The sequence below is a fragment of the Homo sapiens genome, chromosome 16 (assembly GCF_000001405.40).
Source record: "Homo sapiens chromosome 16, GRCh38.p14 Primary Assembly".
Lineage (NCBI taxonomy): Eukaryota > Metazoa > Chordata > Mammalia > Primates > Hominidae > Homo > Homo sapiens.
Window position 1 is genome coordinate 57,877,727 of NC_000016.10, and position 26,576 is coordinate 57,904,302.

Consider the following 26,576-nt stretch of genomic DNA (forward strand, 5'->3'; position numbering starts at 1 on the left):
CCTCTGCCTCCCAGGTTCAAGTGACTCCCCTGCCTCAGCCTCTCGAGTAGCTGGGACTACAGGCATGCACCACCACACCCGGGTAATTTTTTTGTATTTTAATAGAGATGGGGTTTCACCATGTTGGTCAGGATGGTCTCGATCTCCTGACCTTGTGATCCACCTGTCTCAGCCTCCCAAAGTGCTGGGATTACAGGCATGAGCTACCATGCCCAGCCGCACCTGGCCTTTTTTTAGAGACAGGGTCTGACTCTGTCACCTAGGCTGGAGTGCAGTGGTACAATCATAGTTCACTACAGCCTAAAACTCCTGAGCTGAAGCGATTCTCCTGCCTCAGCCTCCCAAGTAACTGGGACTAGAAGAGTGCACCACCATGCCCAGCTATTTTTTTTTTTTTTATCTTTTTTTTGTAGAGACGGGGTCTTGCTATGTTACCCAGGCTGGCCTCAAACTGCTGGGCTCAAGTGATCCTTCTGCCTCACCCTCCCAAAGTGCTGAAATTATAGGCATGAGCCACCATGCCTAGCCCATTTCACTGCTCCTACATCAGGATGTTTTCAGCTGCAGGTAACAGAGACCCTATGAATGGCTTTAAATAATAAAGATATTTCATTATCTCATATAATGAGTACTCTGAACACTCATGGTTTCAGGGTTGATTTGGCAGCTCAAACATGTCACAGGCTGCATCTCTCCAATTTTTGGCTCTTCGGTCATGAGATGGCTGCTGCAGCTCCAAATACATTCTCACTTCAGTATCCCAGGCAGGAGAAGAGAAGGACAACAGCAACAGAGCGCTTTCCATACCTGATTAATTCATTGGTTGGAACTGGGTCACACCTAGCTACAAAAAAGGCTGGAAAGGCAAGAATTCAGCAAAAAAGAACAGAGAGCAGGGATTGGCTTATACCAGGGGCTTCATCTCCTGGGGATGGGCATGCTGCTGCCCAAAGCTAAATCGGGGCTTTGTTAGCAAGGAAGAAGTGGGCCATCTTCTTAAGATTCACCTTCCCAGCAAAGAGAGTCAATGGGCCTGGCTTAGGTCACCGTGTTGGAGTCACCATGCATGACTGAAAGGTAATGTTGCAAAAGGGGAAGCAGAATTCTGGGGCTAGAAGAAGAAGAGAGACAGAAGCTGAGTGCAGAAAAGACATCTTTTCCTCCTTCAACCACTGGTCATTTCAGATACTGGGGAGTATCGCAACCTAGCCAGGACAGGTTATATCATTTGTAGGAACCAGTGCAAATAAAATGCAGGACCCATGGTTCAAAAGTTAAGAATTTCAAGCACAGAGCCCTTCTGGACACAGAGTCCTGTGTGACTGCACAGGTCACAAGCCCATGAAGCCAGCCCTGGGCCTAGATCAGAACTGGAGTGATTGCCCCAAGGAGAGTAAGTCTTGCTAGGGTGTTTCAGGGTCTGTTTTGTTATAAAATTGGGTTAAATCATTAATTGATGGTAAGAAAGCTGAGATTTATATTGTTATAATTAACATGTGTCCAGCCCTTTGTACAAACACTGTTAAAGGGTCGAGAAAAGAGGTGATCAAAGCCCTCTGTGGTATAACCCTAGGCAGAGGCAGGGTTCCAAGAAGACAGAGCTATCCAGAGGCTTCCAGTCTACTCCAGCTATCAGAGTAAGGGGGATGGTGAGTTGGTTTTATTCCTCATGCCCATTCAAACTTGGCAATTTCAGTTTATTACTTAATCATCACAGTGGCCCTGTGTGGCTCAAAGTATTATATCCATATTATAGATGAGGTCACTGGGGCTCAGAGAGGTCCGTGATCATCCATGGTATATGATCAAACTGGGATTGGAAGCCAGGCAGTCTGAATCCTTGCGTCCACCTTTATCAGCACTGTGTGTCATTGAACAAATCTAACAGGGCTGGGGAAATTGTAAGAAGTTGTCTTATAATAGATGAGATGACACAGATATAAAAGGGGTTTTAACTTGAAGGGCTTAGAGTCCTAGAGCCCATGGGAAGTTTTTTGGTTTTTTTTTGTTGTTGTTTTCTTTCTTTCTTTCTTTCTTTCTTTCTTTCTTTCTTTCTTTCTTTTTCTTTCTTTCCTTTCTTTCTTTCTTTCTTTCTTTCTTTCTTTCTTTCTTTCTTTCTTTCTTTCTTTCTTTCTGTTTTTTTTTTCTTTTTTTTGAGATTGAGTCTCACTCTGTTGCCCAGGCTGGAGTGCAGTGGCATGATCTCAGCTCACTACAACCTCTGCCTCCTGGGTTCAAGCAATTCTCATGCCTCAGTCTCCAGAGCAGCTGGGACTACAGGCGTAAGCCACCACACCTGGCTAATTTTTGTATTTTTAGTAGTGATGGGGTTTCATCATGTTCACCAGGCTGGTCTCAAACTCCTGACCTCAGGTGATCCACCCATCTCAGCTTCCCAAAGTGCTGGGATTACAGGTATGAGCCACCACACGTGGCCCTATTTTTTTTTTTTTTTTTTTTTTTTTTTAGACAGAGTCTCACTCTGTTGCCCAGGCTGGAGTGCAGTGGCATGATCTTGGCTCGCTGCAACCTCCGCCTTCTGGGTTCAAGCAATTCTCCTGCCTCAGCCTCCTGAGTAGCTGGGATTACAGGCATGCGCCACCACACCTGGCTAATTTTTTTGTATTTTTAGTAGAGAGAGGGGTTTCACCATGTTGGCCAGGATGGTCTTGAACTCCTGACCTCAGGTGATCCACTCATCTTGGCTTCCCAAAGTGCTGGGATTACAGGCGTGAGCCACCACACCTGGCCCTATTTTTTCTTTTCTTTTTCTTTTTTCTTTTTTTTTGAGACGGAGTCTTGCTCTGTCGCCCAGGCTGGAGTGCAGTGGCATGATCTCGGCTCACCGCAGCCTCTGCCTCCCAGGTTTCAGTGATTCTCCTGCCTCAGCCTCCCAAGTAGCTGGGATTACAGACACCCGCCACCACACCCGGCTAATTTTTTTGTATTTTTAGTAGAGACGGGGTTTCACCATGTTGGCCAGTCTGGTCTCGAACTCCTGACCTCAGGTGATCTGCCTGCCTCAGCCTCCCAAAGTGCTGGGATTTCAGGCATGAGCCACTGCACCCAGACTATTTTTTCTTTTAATAGAGATGGAGTCTTACTATGTTGCCCAGGCTGGTCTTGAACTCCTGGGCTCAAGCAATTCTCCCACCTCAGCTTCCCAAAGTGGCCATAGAGGTTTGATAAGAATATCATTCCAGCAATAGGAATACAGGATGGATTAGAGCCACAAGGATGTCCGTAGGACATTTGCTAGAGTGCCTGGGCCAGGACATTTACTTAATTTTTCTCACAGAGGTGTCTGTCACCCATGGCTGATTTCTGAAATGAATCCACAAGCCAGGAACATTTGTCTAAATACTTTAATTAAATGCATTGTAATATGAAAGGCAGAGTGTAAATAAAGTGTTCATGTTTACTAAGAAAACAGACTAAGATATTCCAGGTAGCTGAACACACTTTGATAATAAAATTTGAAACAGCTTCTTGGCTTTCATTCTATTTAAAATATTTATGTAGTTAAAAAAAAAAATTGACTATTTATTTTCTATCTAAATGCAGGAAATGCTGAGACATTTTAAATGAGTAGAGATTGAACATACATAAATAAGCGTCCTGTTTCAGCTACGGAATTATAATACTTCCGAGCTGCTCCATTCATACCTCAGCAAACAACCAGTCCAATTCAATTTAGAGAAGAATGCCAGCCTCAAATTCAATTTATTTAATATTTAAGTTTTGTGAAAGTGCTGAGTTAAAGGAGTTATCTCAGCGAAATTAAAACACTGCTAATCTCAATTCAAAATCAATTTTCTTTCCAGGACAATTCTTGGGAACCTCAAGAATCTCTTGCTGTATATCATAAGGAGTATACATTCAAGAACTGATATCTAAAAGAATAAGTACATTCGTATAAAAAAGATTCCTTATAAAATAGGATCTCACAGATAAGGTGCTGTTGAAGCATTTTGCCATTTACGGAAAAGCAATGTGTTTATTAGCATATCTGAAATACTTGCTAATGGTGGAAGCATTCTCCATGCTTTGATCTTAGACTATGTGGTACAAATATACAAACAGTAAATGGAGACGAAGGAAAAATAACTGCCTAAACTCGCAGAGTTCCCCCATTTAAAAAATGTTTACCAGTGAAATGATGTCTGCACAAGATTGTTTTATTGCAGCATTATTTTTAACAGCGTAAGACTGGAAACAACGCAAATGCCCATCAATGGGAGAGTCGTTTAAATGTTATCATACATCCATACAACAAACTAGATTGCCGTCATGAAAAAATAAGCATGCTCTTTAAGGACAGGGAACAATCTCCAAAGTAAATTAAGTGAAAAATAACAGTGGCTGTAATATGTGTTACCACTTCTGTTAAAATTTAAAAGGAAGGGAAGAAGCAGTTACATATTTCCTTGTATAAGCATAAAATAACTCTGAAATGATACAGGAGAAACTGTTAATAGTGGTTGCTTCCAGAGAGGGAACCAAGGAAGCTGGGTACTGGGGTAGGATGAAGAATTTTTATTGGATGTCCTTTTGTACCCATGTAAATATGTTATTGCCTATTAAAATACATTTTTAAAGCTTTTTTTTTTAAAAAAAAAATAGGGTAAAATAATAAGGTCAATCATCACTATATTCAATGTGATGATTACCCGGATCACGTGACAAGCCATCAACTAGACAAATCTGTTTCTGACTCTGGGGTTTGGAAATGCTTAGACCAGCCTGGGGACTCCCACATTCTTTCATTTTTCCACAGTGGAAATGAATGTTGTTTTTAGTGGATGGACAAATACATACAGACATTTGCAAACCTTCAAAGGCCTCTGAGCAGCTCACATTTTCCTGTAATTTTATATAAAATGGGCAGGACCTATTGGAATTCCAGGTCCTTTATGTTCACTGTTGCAGGTGGAAACAAATGGCCTAATACTAGAATACTAGATTTTGTTTTTAATCACTCACTCCCCCAAGAGCCATTTGGTATGCAAATAAAATCCTCTTGATAAATATTCATTCCCTGAATGACCCTTTTTTCTTTTTTTTTCTTTTTTCTTTTTTTTTTTTTGTCTGAATCATAAAAGCAACATGACACGATCTGGAAAGCTTTAGGGAATGTAAGTGCTGTCATCAGCTGGGAGATTTCATTTTCTAGGATTAATTGAAGTTGCTGCCACCATCTCTACAGCGAGAGTGTCAAAAGTGAGTAACGGACTGATCCCTGCTGGCGAATGGGGTTTCTCAGGATGACAGGCAGAGGATGCTCCTACCGGGCTGTTCCTCCTGGCAGAGGCAGAAACGCTAGCAGCTCCTGGCCAGTAAGTCCATTTCCCTTCTATCTGTTCTGAGATAATGGCATTGCATTGGAATTGAATAGAGTCTGGGGAAGATAAGCACTAACTACCTTAATGGGCATCTAGCCCCCTACTGTGATTGCCCGCAAAGGAAAACCGCGTCCCAAGCTCAGCTCAGAACCATGGCAATTCTCAGCTGAACAGCTCGGGCTGCCCTCCTTTCTTTGTTTTTTTGTTTGTGTACGTTGTTGTTGTTTGCTTTTGTTTCTGCTGCTGTTTTGTAGAGATGGGGTCTCAATATGTTGCCCAGGCTGGTCTTGAACTCCTGGTCTCAAACAATCCTCCCATCTCAGCTTCCCAAACTGCTGGGATTGCAGATGTGAACCACTGTGCAGGGCTATCTTTTAGTTTTTTTGAGACAGGGTCTCACTGTGTCCAGCTCACTGCAGCCAGAAACTCCTGGGCTCAAGCCATCCTCCTGCCTCAACCTCTCCAGTAGCTGGGACTACAGGTGCACACCATCACGCCTGGCTATTGTTTTTTTGTTTGTTTTTGTTTTTGTTTGAGATGAGGTCTCGCTATGTTGCCCAGTCTGCTCTCCAACTCTTGGCCTCCAGTGATCCTCCTGCTTCGGCTTCCCAAAGCACTGGGATTATAGGCATGAGCCACCATGCCCGGCAGTGAAGTATTTTCTATCCTTGAAATGTGTTAGACAAATTCCTGAGGGGAAACCCCACACATTCAATAACACTTTACTTTTTCAGCAAAGCTTCCCATGTATTGGAGCCTCATTTTATCCCTCACCCATGAACTTTAAAAGTGGAAAATCATTTTGTTCTTAAAAAGAGGAACAGTCAGGAAAAGGTAGGGCTCTCAAATGATAGTGAGAGCTCAGGGACTCGAACACTTGATGCAACTTGTCGAGCTCAGGCCCAGCCCCGCGAGGAGCTGAGTCGGGGCTGGCGTGCTGGCGGGACGGTCAGAGCTGCAGCCACTGAGGTCACGACTACGGAAAAGCATCTTCTCTTGAGCCGTGGGGGAAGGTGGGGCGCTGGGGCGCAGGGGCGCAGCGGGCGCTGGGGACACACCTGCTGGAACTGCGCGCGGGATCCGCCTCACCCCACCTTACTCCGCCTTCTCCTCCCTTTCCTCCGGCATCTTCACCGACAGGATCTGCTCTCCCGGCTCCGGGCCCGGGCTCATGCAGATCCTCACCGAGTGCTCTTCGGGCTCGGCCGGCCCCTCCTCCTCTCCCTCCGGCCTCCCAAGGGAGGCAGGCGGTGGAGAGCTCGGTGGAGACCCCGGGGGCTCGGGGGGCGTCCGGGGCGCGGGTGGGTCGGTGGCGGCCTCCTTTGGGTGCGTGTGCTGGTCTGGGGCGGCGGAGCCTTCCTCTCCCTTGACGTCTTGCGAGCTCTTGGCCTGGAATCCAGAAAGGGTGACTCGTGAGGCACAGACTCTCGGAGGGGTCTTGGAAGGGTCTTGGACACCTCCCTGTTCCAGCCTTTTTGGACCCCCAAAGAGGGCAGCGGAACACACAGCGGGTGAAATCTAGTGGGTGGGGTGGAGCCGCATCGGGGTTATTTAGGAGAAACAAAATACATTATGGGGAAGTGTACAGATTAAAAGTCCCGGTTGGATTTCGTGGAAAGTCTTGGGATGTCTTAGATCTAGGCTGTGGGGCTGGAAGCTGGGATGAGGCTGTTGTTTCAAGTTCAGGGCCCCTCCCCCGAGCTATTGAAGCAAGCCAGGCAGTGACTCTGAGGGAGTACCCGCAAGGCCTCTGCAAAGGCTGAACCAACCATCTGTTACCAGGGGTGGGCACTCCTGGAGTGGATGAGAAAAACTCCAAGCAAACAGGGTAAAAAGTGATGAAGGGAGAGGCTGCTGGGGCTGGGCCCCCTTTCTGGGAAGTCTCAAAGGTTGAGATCCTCAGGGATACCCTGGGGCTGGGTACCCCTGCTATTGGGCTGCGCTGACCCCATGTGTGGGGACCTGATGGATACCTCCAGCCTCCAGCCTGTGCTGCCTCCCACAAACGATGGCCATGGTCTTCACATCAGTAGGGGACTGGGTAATTAAATCAAGCCTTTGCGGATACCTGTGGCCCCTCCCACTCTGCCTGACCCCATCTCTGCACGGAAGGAAACTGGAGAGGGAGCAGCCCCCAGAGGAGGCCAGGATGGTCCTCAGCTGCCCAAGACCCATGTGAAGTGGTGTTTGTGAGTTTCAAGTGAGAGCAGTCAATGTGCTTGTGCAGAGAGACCTGCGCCATTTGCTCAAGTCATAGGATATTGAAGGAAAGGAGGAATGGAGAGGGGGCAGCCAAAATGCTCCAAGAACCCAAGGCCTCTCTTGGGACATGCTTCTCCCTCTGTCTCAGTGTTTCCCTATGTTTTGGTGCCCCTGTCCCACCCTCCCCTGTCCACCCTACACTCTATTCTTTTTGTCTTCTTTCTTTCTTTCCTTCTTTCCTTCCTTCCTTCCTTTTTTCCTTCCTTCCTTCCTTCTTTCCTTCCTTCCTCTCTCTCTCTCTCTCTCTCTTTCTTTCTTTCTTTCTTTCTTTCTTTCTTTCTTAGACGGAGTCTTGCTCTGCCACCCGGGATGGAGTGCAGTGGTGTGATCTCAGCTCACTGCAACCTCTGCCTCCCAGGTTCAAGCGATTCTTCTGCCTCAGCCTCCCGAGTAGCTGGGATTACAGGTGTGTGCCATCATGCCTGGCTAAGGTTTTGTATCTTTAGTAGAGATGGGGTTTTACATGTTGGTTAGGCTGGTCTTAAACTCCTGACCTCAAGTGATCTGCCCACCTTGGCCTCCCAAAGTGCTGGGATGACAGGGGTGAGCCACCTGTGCCCAGCCCACCCTAAACTCTTGACAACACATTTCCAGGGCAGGATGCTTAGATGGTGAGCATCGTGGAACTTCCTGAAGCATGGTGCTATGGCTGGAATCAGCAGCTCATGGGAAGTTAGAAAAGTGCTTTGCTGTGTTCAACATGCTTTTCTAAAAGGCCTCCAAGGTAATCCTGCCTGATCTTTATGACCTCATGAGGCAACCCTCAGTAATCCAAGTCTCGGAAAGCTTGAGGGGCTTCCTGGGTCATGGAGCTAGTGGGTGACAGAGCTGGGATTTGGATTTGTGTCTCTGAATGTCTAGTTAAGAGCTCCCTGTACTCTGCCATTCTGCCCTGGTTGTTCTGATTTGGAAGGGAAGTGCCTTTTAATGGAACACTCATGCAAATTTAATTCCCATCTTAAAGCCCCCTTGCTGAAGAGCTACCACTTAGGAGCCACAAGCCCACCCCAGCTGAAGCTCTTGGTGTACTGGGAGCACCCTTGGAGTTCCTGTCTAGTCAGCCCTCACAGCAGCCAGCACTGAAGACCCCCACTTGCCAGCTCCACCTTGACCTTGACAGTTTGTGAGCCAGGCAATCACATCTTTCCTCAGTCTGGGGCCATTGGTGGCTGTATCTGGAGAATGTCTTGGTACCCCAAATGGCTTTGATGTCACTCACCAGACTTCTACTGTCAAACAACATCTGGATGGGTCTCCTGGACTCTGACACCAGGCTGGATTGAGACTGAGTTCACTGGGCTCCTTTGAACTCTGCTGTGTAGACTGTTAAGCCCAGTCTGCCTAACCCCAGTCCCTCTCCAGATCCCCAGCAGACTTCCTAAAGGACAGCCGTGAACAGACATAATTAATGTAATCATTCCACTTGGTATTCTTGGCTTTGGTCACAGAAAAAAGTCCCAGAACTAATTTTAATGTCCCCCATAGGTTTATGGGGGTGGGGACATTTGGCATTTTGCCTGTGTGAGAGGTTTTCACTTTCAAATTTTTATTTTTCATTTTTTGAGACAGGGTCTCACTCTGTCACCCAGGCTGGAGTGCAATGGTGCAATCATAGCTCACTGCAGTCTCGACTTCCTGGGCTCAAGTGATGCTCCCAACTCAGCCTCCCAAGTAGCTAGGACCACAGGCATGTGCCACTAAGCCTGGCTAATTAAAAAGAAAAAAAGAAAAAATTTGTAGAGACAAGTTCTCGCTATGTTGCCCAGGCTGGTCTTGAAATCCTGGCCTGAAGAGATCCTCCTGCCTTGGCCTTTCAAAGTGCTGGGATTACAAGTGTGAGCTACCATGCCTGACCCAAATATCTTAAATTGTCACAGACACAGTATTAAATATGAGGACACACTGTCTTCTGGGGCCGGACATTTGCTTCTCATACCCTCTCCTCTAACCTCTGCAACAGTATCAAGACTGCCTTTTAGAGATCCTGCTCCCAGCCTACTCTCAGTCCAGGGGCGGGTATGTGACCCAGGCCTCTTTAGAGCACCATAGTGCCCTGGCCACACCGAATGGCTCAAGAATTGGCATGTGACCCAATTCTGTCCAATGACAGTGAGTCCTGGAACTTTTGCTAGAATCCCTGGGAAAGAGGTGCTTTCTTTCTGTTGGAGTTGCTATGCCAGGAGGATGTCATCCTAGATAGAACTCTTGAGAACCTGTCTGGAGATAAAACCATCACTGAATAAAGCAGAGATGACACGATGGGAAAACTCGTCCTGTTGGCATCTTTCGGGCTTTTGGATCCAGGCTTGCCTGAACTTTTCGATTACGTGACCCCTAATTCCCGTTTTTCTCAAGCTAATTTGAGCTTGCACTCTGTCACTGGTAACCAAATGAGCCCTGACTGATAGAAAAAGGAGGGGGAAGACCCTAAAACTAAATGTGTGGCCCACTCTTGGAGACCCCTTGGCCTTCTCCCTGACACATATTGAAATGAACGTGGTGGCTGGGTTCCCAACCACATTACCTGTTCCACCAACTCTTGCTGCTTTGCAGCCGCCTCCAGCGCGGCCAGTTCTTTGAGCCGGGCCCGGAGGTGAGCAAGTTTGCCGCCTTTTGCCCCCTTGCCACCCATCTTTCCTGTCATAGCGAGGGCAGCGTTGAAGAGCTTTGGGGTGCCCGCCCGGGGTGGAAGGATCAGCACGCTCTTCTCCTCCTTGGGCTTATTGTTGCTTCTCAGCATGCGCCTGGAAGAAAGCAGCATCCATTGACATCACAGACGCACTCTGGGGGAAAAGAAAGACTCGCTTCTGCAGCCTCCTTTAAGCTGGAGCTGTGTAGTGGTGGTGATTTTGGCTGGTGATTGTAGAGAGTTTTTTCTGGGCCAAGCGTCGTGTTAAGTACTTTATGCATTGCATCTCATTGAAGGATCAGAACAACTGTAATGAGGTGGGTCTTACTGTCTGTTGTACCTTAGAGATGAGGAAAATGATGCTCAGAGAGGTTGAATAACTTGTCTGAGGTCACACAGCTACGAAATTCTTCTCTTTCCTTCCTTTCTGTCTCTCTCTCTCTCCTCTCTCTTCTGTCTTCTCTCCTCTCTCCTCTTCTCTTCCTCTCTCTCTCTGTCTCTGTCTCTGTCTCTCTCTCTCTCTCTTTCTCACAGGGTCTGGCTCTGTCGCCCAGGCAGGAGTGTAGTGGCGTGATCATGGCTTACTGCAGCCTTGACCTCCATGGCTCAAGCAATCCTCCCACCTGAGTAGCTGGAACTACAGGTATGCACCACCACAATTTTTTATCTTTTTGTAGAGACAGGGTTTCGCCATGTTGCCCAGGCTGGTCTCAAACTCCTGGGCTCAAGCGATCTACCCGCCTTGGCCTCCCAAAGTGTTGAAATTACAGGTGTGAGGCACCGCGCCTGGCCTCTTTCTTTTTTTTAACCAGCAGAAGAGTTAGGAAATCCTGAAGGACACTTTCACATAGGGAATTGGGAATAAGATGCCCAGGTGGAAAAGGAACCAAAGCTCTTTCCTTCTCCTTCTGCTTCACTGTCACCTCCCCCTCGTCACCATCACAATTATCAGCATTTACTGAGTGTCTGTATATGCCAGGCCCTCTGCTCCATCCTTTGCAGGCACCCTTCAGTGGCTCCTATTACCCCCTTCCTGGTGTTCACGCCTCTGTGTGGTCCCCTTCCCTTGAGGATGGGTGGGGTACGTGTCTTGCTTTTAAACAATCGAATACAACAAGGGCTATCACTGGTAGAATATGTCACACAGGATTGTGATCTCTGTCTTGCAAGGGGACTCTCCCTTGCTGACTTTATTTATTTTTTATTTGATTTTTATTTTAAGTAATAGAGACGGGGTCTCCCTATGTTGCTCAGGCTGGTCTTGAACTCCTGGGCTCGAGCAATCCTCCTGCCATGGCCTCGCAAAGTGCTGGGATTACAGGCACGAGCCACAGTGCCTGGCCTCCCTTGATGACTTTGATGTAGGGAGCAGCCAGCTGTGTTGGAGAAGGCCCACATGGCAAGGACCTGAGGCCAGCCACTGGCCAATTGCTAGTGGGAGCTGGGGCCCCAGTCCTACAACCCCAAGGAACTGAATTACACCAACAACCATGTGATCCTGGAAGTGGGTCCTTCCCCCATCCAGACTTGAGATGAGAGCCTGCTCTGGAAGACATCTTGATGACAATCTTGCAGAGGACCTAGCTAAGCCATGTCCGGACTTCTAACCCACAGAAACTGAGATCGCAAATGTGTGACTTTAAACAGCTAAATTTGTGGTAATACTGTTATGCTAATACATACTCTCTCATTTAAGTCTCACAACAATCCCCATAAGTAGGTCTTATTATTCATCCTCATTTCCAAATGAGGGTATAGAAGTTCAGAGGGGGTGAGTAACTTTCCCAAGGCCACACAGCTAAGAAGCGGCAAAGCTAGAATTCAAACCCACACTTCTGACCCCAGTGCCCCAGATATTAATGATTACAAAACGACATTGCATCATTATCTTCCTGGGCACTGACAAATACCCCTGTGACATGGAAAGGGCTGAGATTATTGTGCCTCTGACAGTTGGGGAAATTGAGGCTCAGAGCAGGGGGAGTGACGTGCCCAAGGTTACCAGGAAGTGGCAGAAGCAGAATTGCCACCCACATCTAATGGCATGTACCACCCTGTTTCTCTAGATAAGGGTAGATTTTCCATCAAAGAGAGCCCTAGCTTTTTACCGGCAATTTTTCACACTACAAACATGCGGTGAGCAGTTTGTCTCAAGAACAAATGAATTCTGCCTGCAACCAGCGGGCCTAGACAATGAATTGGCAAATTCATTCATCAAGGCTCCAGCAAAACTTGTTTGTTTAAAAATGAGGCCATTACTGGCTGCTTATCTAATCAGAGGCAATGGGTTTAAATTGTGCATGTTGATATTAATTGCCCAAGATTTGCATTTCTAGCTGGAGATCCCCCAGGAGAACACAAACATGATAATTCACCAGACGCCTCTGACACGCGCCAGCTCGGCACTGTCCCCCATGTTATTTGAGTCCATAATTCATGATGTGACAGCCCACAGGAAGGCTGAGGGTGCTGTGAAAATGAACTATCTTTTTCTTTCTAACAAAATAACTATGTATAGGACCTTTGCTGATTGCTACTAGCTGTCTCTGTTTGGAAACATTGAGCTAGCTTCTGGGGCATTTCCAGATTAGGGAAATTTGTCCTCATTTTCTGATGATGTATGCTTCCCTGTAACTGAGATTGAGCAATCAGCCTGGAGCAAGTGACCCACATAAGACCTCTTCATCCTCTTTTTTGGAGTGGTCAAGCCGGAGATCTCAGCACTTCACTTCTTTGGGGACCCAGGTCCCCCATCTGCAAAGCAGGGAGCTTGGACAGAATCCCACACGTGGCCCTCACCAACTCAGATGTCCCCGGGACTATGGTTCTCAGACAGTGTATCTCCCCTGATGAGCAGAGCTCATACACAATCCCCTGCCTCTCTGGTCAAGCTGGCCTGGCCAGCAAACAACCACTCTGATGACTCATGGCTGAGACCCCCATTCCCACGCCCCCCCATGTTGCTGTGAGGCCTGTTAGCCCCATTCCTTCGCCTGGCTGCCTCCCACCCACACCTCAGCCTTCTCAGTGTGGACACAGGTGCACAGGCACTGTCAGGAATGGGGGCCTCTGCACAGCTCTTGGGAGGTGCCTTTGGGGTCCCATCTGATTTGCCAAACTCTTGCCTAACCCACCCAGCAGGATGGGTAACAGCTAAAAGCATGGCTTTCCTGAGCTTTGCTCCTCCTGGTGGGGGTGGGGGCAAGAAGAGAGGGTGGGGAGACCTGGTACCAGTTTTCAGTCATAAGCAGTTGAATCTCATGATTTGTAGTAATTATGTCCTATAAGATCTCTGCGGACACTGAATTAGCAAAAATGGAAACATTGTTCCTAGGGGAAATACAAGGCTAGATTCCTACAAATCTCCCATCACAACATTCATCAACCATAATACATGAACTTGGCCAGGCGTGGTGGTTCACACACAGTCCCAGAACACTGGGAGGCCAAGGCGGGAGATTTCTTGAGCCCAGGAGTTCGAGGCTGCAGTGAGCTATGATCGTGTCACTGCACTCCAGCCTGGGTGAAAGAGCACGACCCTGTCTCTAAAATTAATAATAATAAACTTGTCTTATGTGTGTTTCTTTTTAAAGACATTATTATTATTATTATTTTGAGACAGAGTCTCACTTTGTTGCCCAGGCTGCATTACAGTGGTGTGATCTTGGCTCACTGCAACCTCTGCCTCCCAGGGTCAAGCCATTCTCCTGCCTCAGCCTCCCGGGTAGCTGGGATGATAGGTGCCCATGACCACGCCTGGCTAATTTTTGTATTTTTAGTAGAGATGGGGTTTCACCATGTTGGCCAGGCTGATCCTGAACTCCTGACCTCAGGTGATCCACCCACCTCAGCCTCCCAAAGTGCTGGGATTACAGGCATGAGCCACTGTGCCGGCTAAAGACATCTTATTAAATATAGATTATTGTTTTATTAACATTGAACGCACAGCCAACAGCACTGTAATTCATGCCTGAATGAAGCTTATCTAACACATATTTTCTGTGTAAGGCACATTGCAGACTTCTTGTGCTTAGGAACATGAGACGGCACTTCAGCACTATGCTGGGGGGCCATTTTAAACAGTGCAATCGCCAACAAAAAGCACAAAAATGCAAAAAAAAAAAAAAAAAAGAGTAGCATTAAATGGACCATAAAAAGACACCTCTTCGCAGTACAAGAGCTAAAACCACAAGACAGAACAGGGACTTCAGCGGGGAGCGTGCACTTGGGGTGACTCAAGTATTTTGCTGCTCTGGGCATGTCCTTGAATGACCACAAAAGCCTGTTAGTATTGATCTTGGCGTTGCAAGTCCATTTCAGTGAGGAGGCGAATTTGCAAATATGGAGTCCATGAATCACAAGGGTCCACTCTACCTCCCTGTCCCTGGGGAGAGGAGGCACTGGCACGCACCACTGATGTGGTGGGGAACGTGGGGAGATTTTCTGGGAGAAATTCAGATAGACTGGGTTTTGGAAGGGTCCAGTGGGTCCCTTGAGAGCAACCAGGTAAGGTGAGTTTGGGGGCAGCTTCCTTCCCCAGGGGACCTCAGTGTCTTGTGTGCATGATGCTTGGACATCAACACTACATCCTTTTACCTCGAAGCTGCCAAAGGGCTCCTGTGAAAACCTAAGGCACTTCAAGTCACTCCTCTGTGTAAAACTCTCCATGGCTCCCATCTTCCTCTGAGGTCTGACCCAATCTCTTCCCCTAGACTCCTCTGATCCCATACCAAGCTATGCTAATTTTCTTGCTGTTGTGCCACCCACACACTAAGCCTGCTCCTCCCCAGGGCCTCTGCACATGCTGTTCCCTCTTCCCAGAATGCTGTACCCAGCCATCAGTCCCCCAGCTCACTCCTTTGCTTTGTGCAGGTCTCGTTGAAATGCCACCTGCTCAGAGCAGCTTCCCCAACCAGCTTATCTCAGACAGCTCTCCGTCACTTCCCGCTCCTCCCGTGGCTTTGTGTTTCCTCGTAGCCAGACGCATCACATCATCGCTCATCTTTCCATTGCCGGTTCCCTGACTAGAATGTGAGTTTTGTTTGGTCCCTCCTGTGTCCCCAGAACTCAGCACTGTGTACTCGATACATCACTGTGCTGTAGGAATGGATGCTGGTGAGTTTCTTCCCTCTATTATGACAGCTCTCTGTGCAGTTTATTTATGGTGTCATTGTATAGAATGAAGGGGAAAATAAGAATGTGTGATACAAGACAAGGAGGAAAACCCAGATATGTGGATTAAAAAGGTTTTACCCAACTGAAAAATTATAGGGTGAATTTGATGGCTACAGAGGAACAATTGCTTATTTATCTGAGAGACAGGGTCTTGCTCTGTCACCCAGGCTGGAGTGCAGTGGCACGATCATAACTCACTGTAACCTTAAATATTTGGGCTGAAATGATCCTCCCGCCTCAGCCTCCTAAAGTGCTGGGATTACAATCATGCAGCATTGCGCCCGGCCTGAAGTGATCCTTATTAACATGCACTGAGCTCTCTTGTATGACAGGCACCCCACCGGAGACATTCCTGCACACTATTTAATTTTCACAGCAGCAGGCCAGGCACAGTGGCTCACACCTGTAATCCCAGCACTTTGGGAGGCCAAGGCGGGCAGATCGCCTGAGGTCAGAAGTCCCAGACCAGCCTGGTCAACATGGTGAAACCCCGTCTCTACTTAAAATACAAAAATTAGCCGGGTGTGGTGGCATGTGCCTGCAGTAGTCCCAGCTATTGGGGTGGCTGAGGCAGGAGAATCGAATTGTTTGAACCCAGGAGGCAGAGGTTACAGTGAGCCAGGATTGCGCCACTGCACTCCAGCCTTGGCGACAAAGCAAGACTCCATCTCAAAAAAACAAAAAAAATTTACAGCAGCAAAGTAGGGGTTATGACCTTTATTTTACATAGGAGACAACTGAGACCAGAAAAGTTAAACAACTTCCTCAAAGTCACACAGCCAGCACCTCACATGGAAGGGATCTGAGCCCCGCCAGCCTCCCAGACCTATTGTGGGGTTCCTGACACACTACGTTGCCTGTCGCTCAATTTGAAACCTGATCTTAAGGGTTTGAAAACAAAAACCGGCTTTTCTAAAAAGAATGACCTGTTCCCCAACAATGCAAAATACGGATGCACACGGTTATTCGTTGCACCACTGTTTGTAATTGCAAAATTGTGGAAATACCCTAAATGTCCATTTACAGGAATGTTCTGCCACTGTGGAAAGGAATGAGGAAGCTGACTCTGCACTGATAGACAATGATTTCCGGGTTTTGTCGTCATGTGGAAACAAAGCAAAGTACAAGAATCTACAGCATGCCATATTTTGTGTAAGAAAGAAGAAGAAATAAGAAAATGTTTGGGCTGGGTGTGGTGGCTCACACCTGTAATCCCAGAATTTTGGGAGGCAGAAGCGGGCAGATCACCTGAGGTGAGAAGTTCGAGACAAGCCTGGCCAACGTGGCAAAGCCCCATCTCTACTAAAAATACAAAAATTAGCTGGGAATGGTGGCAGATGCCTGTAATCCCAGCTACTCAGGAGGCTGAGGCAGGAGAATCACCTGAACCCGGGAGGTGGAGGTTGCAGTGAGCCAAGACCTAACCACTGCACTCCAGCCCAGGCTACAGAATGAGACTTCATCTCAAAAAAGAAAAAAAGAAAATGTCTGTGGACTTGTCCATTTTCGCAAAAGTAAGCAGAGGAAAGAAAAGGCAGAAATTGATGCAACGAGCCACGTAATAATGGGAGTTGCAGTCAGGGGGCAATGGGGACAGGGAGAGTTGGGACGCTTTTCTGAGTGCCCCATTTTGCAGAGTGTTGACCTTCAGGAACATGTTAATGTTCTACATACTGAAAACAAGAAAAAGTCAACAAAGATCAGGGTGGCAGGAGCCCTAAATGGAATGTAAACTGAAACAAGTGAACCTACCTGTATTTCAAATGAATAAAGTAACCACATTAAAGGGTAGTGGAGGAAGAGAACGACTCCAGATAACTTTGAACGTAACACTTCCATCATATATACTCGGGCTAAACACAAAAGAACTGCATCCAGTACTGAACTCTACCTAGAAGCCTTACTTTTTGTTTTTACAGTGACATGGGCTGGAAATTCTGAAATGAACTTCCCTGTATTGCTCAGTGTTGGAGAAGAGATTTACAAGTATGAAAAGGGAGAATATTAGAATGAATTCTAATATGTGGTGGCAGGGCACGGTGGCTCACACCTGTAATCCCAGCAACTCTGGGAAGCCAAGGCAGGCAGATCACCTGAGGTCAGGAGTTTGAGACCAGTCTAGCCAACATGGTGAAACCCCATCTCTGCTGAAAATACAAAAATTAGCCAGGTGTGGTGGCACATGCCTGTAATTCCAGCAGAGGTTGCAGTGAGCTGAGATGGCGCCACTGCACTCCAGCCTGGGTGACAAGAGTGAAACTCCGTCTCAAAAAAAAAAAGAATGAATTCTGTGGTGCTGGATTGAAATTGTTTTATAGATAATCAGTAGAATAGACAGAAAAATTTAAGTTGGCATATACATGTATATGTGTGTGTATGTATTTTATATATACATAATATATTATATATGTATTTTTTATATATATATATATATTTGTACTTATACATCTTGGTGTGTATGTGGGTGTGTTTCTTGGTTCTGTCTGCTGCAGAGGCCTAGTAGCACTCCAGTAGCAATGACTGCTCCTAGGACTCAGATCGTGGTTTCTAAAAACCATCCCCCAGTAAAAGGAATCAAGGCTCCTTGGAGAAATGGCCATTTCCAGGATACTGCAAGGGAAGTACAAGATGAACCAGGGCATCTGGTTGTGGCTTACTGCTCCTTGAGTAAGCAAGGAAGTGCTAAAATATGACAGGGATATCACGAAGGTCACAAATGAGCCACCTTGAAAAAGTGCCCACTGGCCAAACTGGACTAATTTGAGCATCAAAATAATGATTGTTAACAGAGTATTCATGGAATCAAGTAAATCCATGCCTATATACATTGAGAAATGAATAAACAAATGGGAGAGAAGAGAAAGCTCTTCCACACAGCTGACTGCCAGCTAATAATCAAGGAGGGAGTGGAGTTACAAAATTTCCATTTTACAACTATCATAGCAATCTCTTTGTAACTATCATAGGGAGGAACCATCAAAGGATGCTAAAAGCAGTGGGTAAAAGTTTGACAGGGAACAGGATATCCTCATAGTCTGAAGGTGACTACCCACTAATTACTTAGGAATTAGGTTTAAGGGAAAATAGGTTTACAATACAGAAACCTTAACCAAGTAATCAAAGTAAAAATCATCGATATTGGGAGTAAATGGCATCGTGCGCCTCTCGATACATTTGCTGCAGAAGCGACTCACTTCTGAGTTCTTCCTGCCAAAAATGCACACTCTAATGGTAATCACGAGAAAACATCAGACAAACCCCAACTGAGGGGCATTCTGTAAAATAACTGGCCTGTATGGGCTGGGTGCAATGGCTCACGCCTGTAATCCCAGCACTTTGGGAGGCCGAGGGGGGTGGATCACGATGTCAGGAGTTTGAGACCAGCCTGACCAACATGGTGAAACCCCGTCTCTACTAAAAATACAAAAATTAGCCGGGCGTGGTGGTGTGCACCTGTAATCCCAGCTACTCAGGAGGCTGAGGCAGGAGAATTGCTTGAATCCAGGAGGCAGAGGTTGCAGTGAGCCAAGATTGTGCCACGGCACTCCAGCCTGGGCGACAGAGCAAGACTCTGTCTCAAAATAAATAAATAAATAAATAAATAAATAAATAAATAAATAAATAAATAAAATAACTGGCCTATATGCTTAAAAGAAGTCCAAGTCACTAAAGGTTGGAAAAGCCTGAGGAACTATCCCAGATCAAGGAAGACTAAGAATACTCTGCACCTTAATTACAATATGTGATCCTAGACCTGATTCAGGAATGGAAAAGAAGAAAAGGTACAAAGGATACTCTTAAAGAATTAGCAAAATCTGAAGATGGATTGTGAATGAGATAATAGTGTTGTTTCAATACGAAATTTCCTTATTTTAATGAAGGTACTAGGCCAGGCGCAGTGGCTCACACCTGTAACCCCAGCACTTTGGGAGGTCAGAGCAGATCATGTGAGCCCAGGAGTTTGATACCAGCCTAGGCAACATAGTGAGACCCCAGCTCTAGAAAAAAATTTTAAAAATTAGCTGGGAATGGTGGTACGTGCCTATAGTCCCAGCTACATGGGAGGCTGAGGCAGGAGGATCACTTGAACCTAGGAGGTTGAGACTGTAGTGAGTCATGATCACTCCACTGCACTCCAGACTGGGTGACAGAGCAAGATGTCATCTCAAAAAAAAAAAAAAAAAGATAAAGGTACTGTGGTTATGTAAGAGAAATTCATTGTCCTTAGCAATTTTTTATTAAACGAAAGAAAAGTTACATACCTGGCTTTCTTCCGGAGTAACTTCTGAGACTCAGGATAATGCACCAAAATCTCATTCAGGTCCTTCTTATCCAGGATGAAGAGGTTGGTAAACCCGTGCGCCACCACGTTGGCCGTGCGCCGGTTCCCGCCCCCAACAGCCAGCAAGCTGGGGCAGAGAAGGGAGGAAGGAGGCCCTTCAGAGACTGCCGTTTCGGTCACATTCAGATCTTCATTTCCCATGTGTGGAGGACAGTGGTGGCCCCACACAGATGAGAACCTTCCCCCGCCCCCATCCCCGCATACATCAGCAGGTGCCAGTGCTGCATCTACCAAGCCGTAGACACTCGCACTGCCCGCTGGCCGCCTTCTTTCCCAGCCCTTGCCCCAGGCCCCTCACTTTACCCCAGCTGCGTCTGACCTTATTTCTCCAAACACAGATCCAGCTTTCAGCGTCACCAGCACAGATTTCCCATCAGGGCCGCCCAAGACCTGCACTTGCCCTGCCTGGATGATGTACATCTCACGGCCGATCTCCCCCTGAAACAAAGAAGTGACAAGTCCCTCTGTTCATCCCCCAAAGTCACCAGAGAAGCAGCCAGGGCTGGATCCAGAGGCTGGAGGTCCGGCAAGGAGGAACCTAGGCACTGGGGTCCAGCCCTGCCACCACAACTTGGGGTGTCGTGTGGGGGCAGTCACTTCCCTCTCAGGCCTCAGTCACCCCATCTGTAGACTTGGAGGAGTGACTACCCCATGCCCTCCATAACTGACAGGGTTGCAGTGGGGGAGTTAGTGATGTCATGGAATGGGAAGTGCCAGCTAACCTGGGAGGTGCAGGTATAATGGAATTCTGCAAATTCCAGTTAGACTCACTGATGGAGGCAGGGCAAATCAGATAGCAGCTCCCACCATCAAATGATGTCTACACCTGGCACATCTCAGGGGCTCGGGAAGAATTTGCTAACTGCAACAGGAATGGGAACAACAATAACGATAATATTCAAATTGCCTTTTTTTTTTTGAGATGGAGTCTCGCTCTGTCGCCCAGGCTGGAGTGCAGTGGCATGATCTTAGCTCACTGCAACCTCTGCCTCCTGGGTTCAAGCAATTCTTGTGCTTCAGCCTCCCAAACAGCTGCGATTACAGGCATCATGCTTCAGCCTCCCGAGTAGCTGGGATTACAAGCATGTGCCACCATGCCCGGCAAATTTTTGTATTTTTAGTAGAGACAGGGTTTTGCCACGTTGGCCAGGCTGGTCTCGAACTCCTGGCCTCAAGTGATCTGCCTGCCTTAGCCTCCCAAAGTGCTGGGATTACAGGCATGAGCCACTGTGCCCAGCCCCAAATTGCTTTATGCAGTGTACTACTTATCCTCAACAACCCTCAGAGTCGAGATCACTCTTTGCCCAAGAGCTGGGATCTGAACCCAGACAGTCTGGTTCCAGAGTTCATGGTTGTTATGGGTTGAATTATGTACTCCCTCCCAAATTCATATATTGAAATCCTCATCCCCAGCATCTCAGAATGTGACCTTATTTGGGAATAGGGTCATTGCAGATGTAATTCCTAAAGATGAGGTCCTTCTAGACCTAATCCAATATGACTGGTGTCCTAACAAAAGGGAAATGTGGACACAAAGACAGGCATAGAGACCAGAGGATGTGAGGAGACACAAAAAAAACTAGATGACCACCTACAAGCTGAGGAGAGAAGCCACCCAGCTTGTGGTGGAGTTGCACAGTGTCCCGCGGCAGCCTGGAGAATGAATACAATGGCCTTAATCCCAAGTTAAACCGAATGCATGCATGAATGAATAGCTTGCTTTGGACTGCAATTAGAAACACCTAGTCTGCCATGCGCCTTCCAATCCTCATGCCTTCACCGGCCCTTGTCCTGGCCAGCTACCTGTGAGTCACATGTGTTTAAAAGGGGAAGAGGAGGTCTACAGAAAAAAAAAATAATAATAATAATAATTAAAAAGGGGGCCGGGTGCAGTGGCTCATGCCTGTAATCCCAGTACTTTGGGAGGCCAAGGCGGGCACATCACCTGAGGTCAGGAGTTCGAGACCAGCCTAGCCAACATGGCAAAACCCTGTCTTGACTAAAAATAAAAAAATGAGCCGGGCATGGTGGCATATGCCTGTAATCCCAGCTACTTGGGAGGCTGAGGTAGGTGAAATGCTTGAACCCAGGAGGCGGAGGTTGCAGTGAGCCGAGATAGTGCCACTGCACTCCACCCTGGGAGAGAGAGTGGGACTTGGTCTCAAATAAACAAACAAACAAACAAATAAATAAATAAGGGGTGGGGGGAGTGACCAAGGACAGTAACTGTCACACTTTTGACTTATTTGACAAAAATTTCCTGTGCATTTCACACATGCATGACCCCCTTAACAAAAAGGTAGAGAGGTTTGCCTCCATGTTTCTGTTTAGTTTGACAAGAGTGAAAGGGTGAAGGGACCCTCACCTCAGTAACCAGTCCCCGGGGTGTCTCAGAGAGATCGCTGCCGAGCAAAACCAGACAGCAGAGGGCGCCCTTCACACGTGCTCACCAAGTGCTCAATTTAATTTGCAATCACAGACTCTAGATTCACTTTTTCTCATTTAAAGCAAACTCTGCATCACCCACGAAGACAACAGCAACAGTACTGGCAGCTGCTGTGTGCCAGGAACAATGTTAAGCTCTGTATGCACATCTTATTCAGCCCTCACAACCACCCCATGAGGGAGGTACTATCAACATCCCCCACTTTATCCATAAGATGAGCAGGACTCAGAGAGGGCAAGCCACTTGCCCAAGGCTGCACAGCCAGGAAGGGGCTCCAGTGTCAGGCAGGCCACTCTATTGCTCCCAAACCCCTCTTTGCCCCTAAGGTTGCAGCTTTAAATTCTCAGGTCTCTGAAGCATACTTTTCCCCTCTTCACCCCGGCTCTCTGCTTCCAGAAATTTCACTGCTGCACAGCATATAACCTGGAGACAGGGACTTTCTTGGGGACGGGGGTTCCCAAGTCTTGCAGAGCCTGCTTGGGTAATGTTTCCCCCCGTATGCTTATTAACGGTTTATTATTAACTTATTAACGGCTCTGTGCAAGAGGACTGAAACCTGGGTTCCTGACCCCTCCCGTCACTCACCAAGTGACCTTGGTCTCACCTTGAACCCCAAGGACAGGGAGCAGAAAGGGCTCTAGACATTGTCAGGCCCCAGGATTCAACTCCAGATGTTTTCTGGGATCAGAGGGTGAAGCTGAGCAGGGAGGGGGTTCTAGGGTGGGGCAGTGGGGAGTGGTGGGGGCTGTGGCATCAGGAAGGGACACGATGTCCCCCTTTGGGGCAACCTTTCCTCCACCCCAGCTGCCTCTTGCCATTTGGGAAAGTGGACCCAGCGCTGGCAGATTTTCTGTTTTCAGCCAGAAATCTGAATTTTTATACAAAATCTCCAAATTTTTAAAGGTTGGGGACCAATTCAACATTTTTTAAAAATTAGAAAAAAAAAAACCCACAGAATACCTGTGTGCTGGATCTTATCCAAAGGCCACCAGTTTGCAACCTCTGACCTAAGCCCATCCCTTCTCCTGCCCCATTTTCCTGATGGGAAGATGGAGACCCCAGAAGCAGTTCCAGCTACACAGTCAAGGCCCTGCCTCTCTTCAGGCTCCACAGTTTCCCTTTCTGTAAGGTGGAGTTGGGGGGGGGGTCTTTGTCCTGGCCCCCATGGTCCTGTGTCAATGGAGCTGAGAAAATGCTTTGCAAAGCCCGAGGCACATGTGTGTTGACTGCATAGAGTCGGCAAAGCCTCCTAATCCGCTCCTGCTCTTGGGTCTGGTCAGGTCACTGCAGCATGAAGCCGCAGACGCTCTTCTCCCTCCCCAACAATCTCGCTCTGCCCTGGGCTGGCAGGCACCCCTCCAGCTCAGTTCCTTGAAAGCCAGGGGGATGGTGAACCCCAGATCCCGTGGTGGCTGCCAGGCCAGCTCACCTTCTTGCACACATAGTCGTTGGGCAGGTAGACAACAGAGCGAAGCCTCTTCAGCATGTCAAAGATCATCTGCCGGTCACAGCCCTGTCCCGGTGAGGAAGGGAAAGGAACTTTTTAGAGAAGATTGGGCTTGGAGCCTCCCACAGCCCTGAGCGTGAGGGCACCAAAAGGTGTACCTGAAAGAGTGCGACTTTGCTAACGATGTTGTAGTTCACGTCGATGGCGAGGTCCAGCCGCATCTTGTCTGGAAGCTGCACCATCAGCTCTGACTCATCTGTGAACAAGGCCTGGCAAGGGTCAGAGGCAAGGCCGGGCCCCACCCCAGACATACATACCGGCCAAGTGCCCACCTACTGGCTCACCAGGGCACACCATTGCCCTGCCGCATGGAACCACTCTGGATTTGTAGTGCACCCTCTCTCACCTCCAGGCATTTGCCAATACCGTTTCCTCTGCCAGGAGCACCCCTGTGCATTTCCCAAACTCCTACTCATTCTTCAGAACCCAGCACTAATATCACCTCCTCCAGGAAGCCTTCCCTGCCTTCCCTTGACATCCTCCACTCAGCTACTATGTTAGTAGCCCCTGCGCTGTTGCAATTATTGGTCACCTGTGTTCCCACTTCCCTGGAAGGACAACATCAGCAAGAACTAAAGTCTCTGGAGCACTTCTATGAGCCAGGCACCTGTTTTTTTTGTTGTTGTTATTTATGTTTTTGTTGTTGTTGTTGTTGTTGTTTTAGACAGTCTCGCTCTGTCACCCAGGCTGGAGTGCAGTGGCATGATTTTGGTTCACTGCAACCTCCACCTCCCTAGTACAAGTGATCCTCCTGCCTCAGCTTCCCGAGTTGCTGGGACTACAGGTGCCCACCACCACGCGGGCTAATTTTTTGTATTTTTAGTAGAAACGGGGTTTCACCATGTTGGCCAGGCTGGTCTCAAACTCCTGACCTCATTTGATCCACCCACCTGAGCCTCCCAAAGTGCTGGGATTACAGGAGTGAGCCACCGCACCCAGCCAAGCCAGGCACTTTTTAATAGAATGTTTTATAAAGATTATCTTAGTTTTAGTTTTTATTAAAATAAAATTTTTAAAATACTTTGAACCCTGAAAAGCTAAAAAAAATTTTTTTCTTTTAGAGACAAGGTCTCACTATGTTGCCCAAGTTGGTCTGAAAACTCCTGGGCTCAAGCAATCCACCTGCCTCAGCCTCCCAAAGTGCTGGGATTACAGGCATGAGCCACCGCACAGGTACTTATTTTTACTTTTCTGAGACAGGGTCTTGTTCTGTCACTCAGGCTAGAGTGCAGTGCAGTGGCACAATCACAACTCACTGCAGCCTCAACTTCCTCAGGCTCAAGCGATCCTCCAGCCTCAGCCTCCTGAGTAGCTGGGACTCACAGGGACGCACCAACATGCCCAGCTAAATTTTTTGACTTTTTGTAGAGATGGGGTTTCACCATGTTGGCCAGGCTGGTCTTGAACTCCTGGGCTCAAGTGATCCTCCCGCCTCAGCCTCCCAAAGTGCTGGGATTACAGGCAAAACTATTTTACTAAATCCCCTAAGCAACCCAAGAGGTGCCCTACTATAATATCGACTTTATAGATGAGCAAATGGCAGTGACATGCCCGTAGTCTTGTAGCTCGAGGGATAAACTCAGGACCCCAACCTGGCTGTGGAGCTCTAGAGCTGCCCCAGGAGATCCAGGGCTAAGCCTGCTGCACCCATCATGGGGTGTGCAATGCCCTGAGAGAAAGCGAGGAGAGAGGAGAGAGAGAGGGAAGGAGGGAGAGAGAGGAAGGGAGGGAGGAAGGGACAGAAAGTCCTTCTTCCTTTTTTTTTTTTTTTTTTCAATTTAAACTGCACTTCGGCCTCACACCTGTAATCCCAGCACTTTGGGAGCCCGAGGCTGGCTAATCACCTGAGGTCAGGAGTCCGAGACCAGCCTGGCCAACATGGTGAAACCTCGTCTCTACTAATAATATAAAAATGAGCCAGGCATGGTGGCACATGCCTGTAATCCCAGCTATTTGGGAGGCTGAGGTAGGAGAATCGCTTGAACCCGGGAGATGGAGGTTGCAGTGAGCCAAGATTGCTCCACTGCACTCCAGCCTGGGTGACAGAACGAGACTCCATGTCAAATAAATAAATAAATAAACAAACACACAAACAAACTACACTTCGCTCTTGGATGGGGATGCATTTCAAGGTGGGTAAAGTGAGGGGGGCAGGCACACAGAAGACAAGCCCCCCGTCTCCAGGGATCTCATGACAGCCCTGCTAGAGGCACTTCAGGGGCCCCACTGGGCACCTCTCACACCAATGTTGGGGACACAGCCAAGACAGGCCCCAGTACTCGGGACCTCAGAGACACAGAGGACGAGGGAGGCGCCCCGAAGGCATGGCACCGGGCACCAGGCGACAGGAGTTGACTGGGAGCTGGTGGCTGCCAGGGCGTGACCATCTTACCCAGCATGCCTTGCGAGTGCCAGGTGTACTCGTACCAGGTCTTGACGCGGTTCTGCACGGACTTGGGGATCTTGTAGAAATTCATGTACTTCACCGTGCTGTCCATGCAGCTGCGGTAGTAGGTCTGTCCGGCGGTGGCGGCCCCTACCACATCTCTCATCTGGGGGAAGGGTTATGGGAGGTCAAGGAAGCCACTGGGTCATTGGGGGTGGGCGCTATTCCATGGATTTGGGATGTGTCACTTCACACAGACCACGGGCATGTGCTCCTGGCAGGGCGTTGGGAGGGGGGTAGGCAGATGTCCTCACACAGAGAAAGTTTTACTGACGGGAAGTTCTGCCTCCAGCATGGATGTGGGGAAGAGGAAGGGAGGGAGACTGCCAGCCCCTTGGTGGCCTCAGGTCCCTGGGACCACACCATGGGGGAAAGCTCCTTGGGCTGGGCTGATTCTGGTACAATACAGTTCCTCGGTGACGGCGGC

The 26,576-nt window shown here is 48.0% G+C and overlaps 1 protein-coding gene across 2 annotated transcripts in view, besides 3 other annotated features; it reads right to left on the reverse strand.

Moving 5' to 3' along the window:
• Positions 986 to 1,035: an enhancer, noted in NCBI's record as "active region_10917". NCBI's record gives its function as "activates an Ori minimal core promoter by ATAC-STARR-seq in GM12878 lymphoblastoid cells {active_cell/tissue: GM12878}" and the evidence as "EXISTENCE:reporter gene assay evidence [ECO:0000049][PMID:35858748]".
• Positions 4,614 to 26,576, reverse strand: part of CNGB1 (cyclic nucleotide gated channel subunit beta 1) — an 88,789-nt gene continuing 66,826 nt past the window's right edge. For both annotated transcript variants that reach the window (NM_001286130.2, NM_001297.5), the window contains exons 27-33: positions 26,096 to 26,255; positions 23,802 to 23,899; positions 23,626 to 23,709; positions 20,070 to 20,188; positions 19,671 to 19,817; positions 10,129 to 10,348; positions 4,614 to 6,731 (exon numbers count right to left, since the gene is read on the reverse strand). In NM_001286130.2, the coding sequence (NP_001273059.1) occupies positions 6,438 to 6,731; positions 10,129 to 10,348; positions 19,671 to 19,817; positions 20,070 to 20,188; positions 23,626 to 23,709; positions 23,802 to 23,899; positions 26,096 to 26,255 (1,122 nt within the window). In that variant the 3' untranslated portion in view covers positions 4,614 to 6,437. The remainder of the gene's footprint in view (positions 6,732 to 10,128; positions 10,349 to 19,670; positions 19,818 to 20,069; positions 20,189 to 23,625; positions 23,710 to 23,801; positions 23,900 to 26,095; positions 26,256 to 26,576) is intronic.
• Positions 5,861 to 6,408: an enhancer, noted in NCBI's record as "H3K27ac-H3K4me1 hESC enhancer chr16:57917491-57918038 (GRCh37/hg19 assembly coordinates)". NCBI's record gives its function as "activates a minimal SCP1, AML or CMV promoter by ChIP-STARR-seq in primed H9 embryonic stem cells {active_cell/tissue: H9 hESC(primed)}" and the evidence as "EXISTENCE:reporter gene assay evidence [ECO:0000049][PMID:30033119]".
• Positions 6,409 to 6,956: an enhancer, noted in NCBI's record as "H3K27ac-H3K4me1 hESC enhancer chr16:57918039-57918586 (GRCh37/hg19 assembly coordinates)". NCBI's record gives its function as "activates a minimal SCP1, AML or CMV promoter by ChIP-STARR-seq in primed H9 embryonic stem cells {active_cell/tissue: H9 hESC(primed)}" and the evidence as "EXISTENCE:reporter gene assay evidence [ECO:0000049][PMID:30033119]".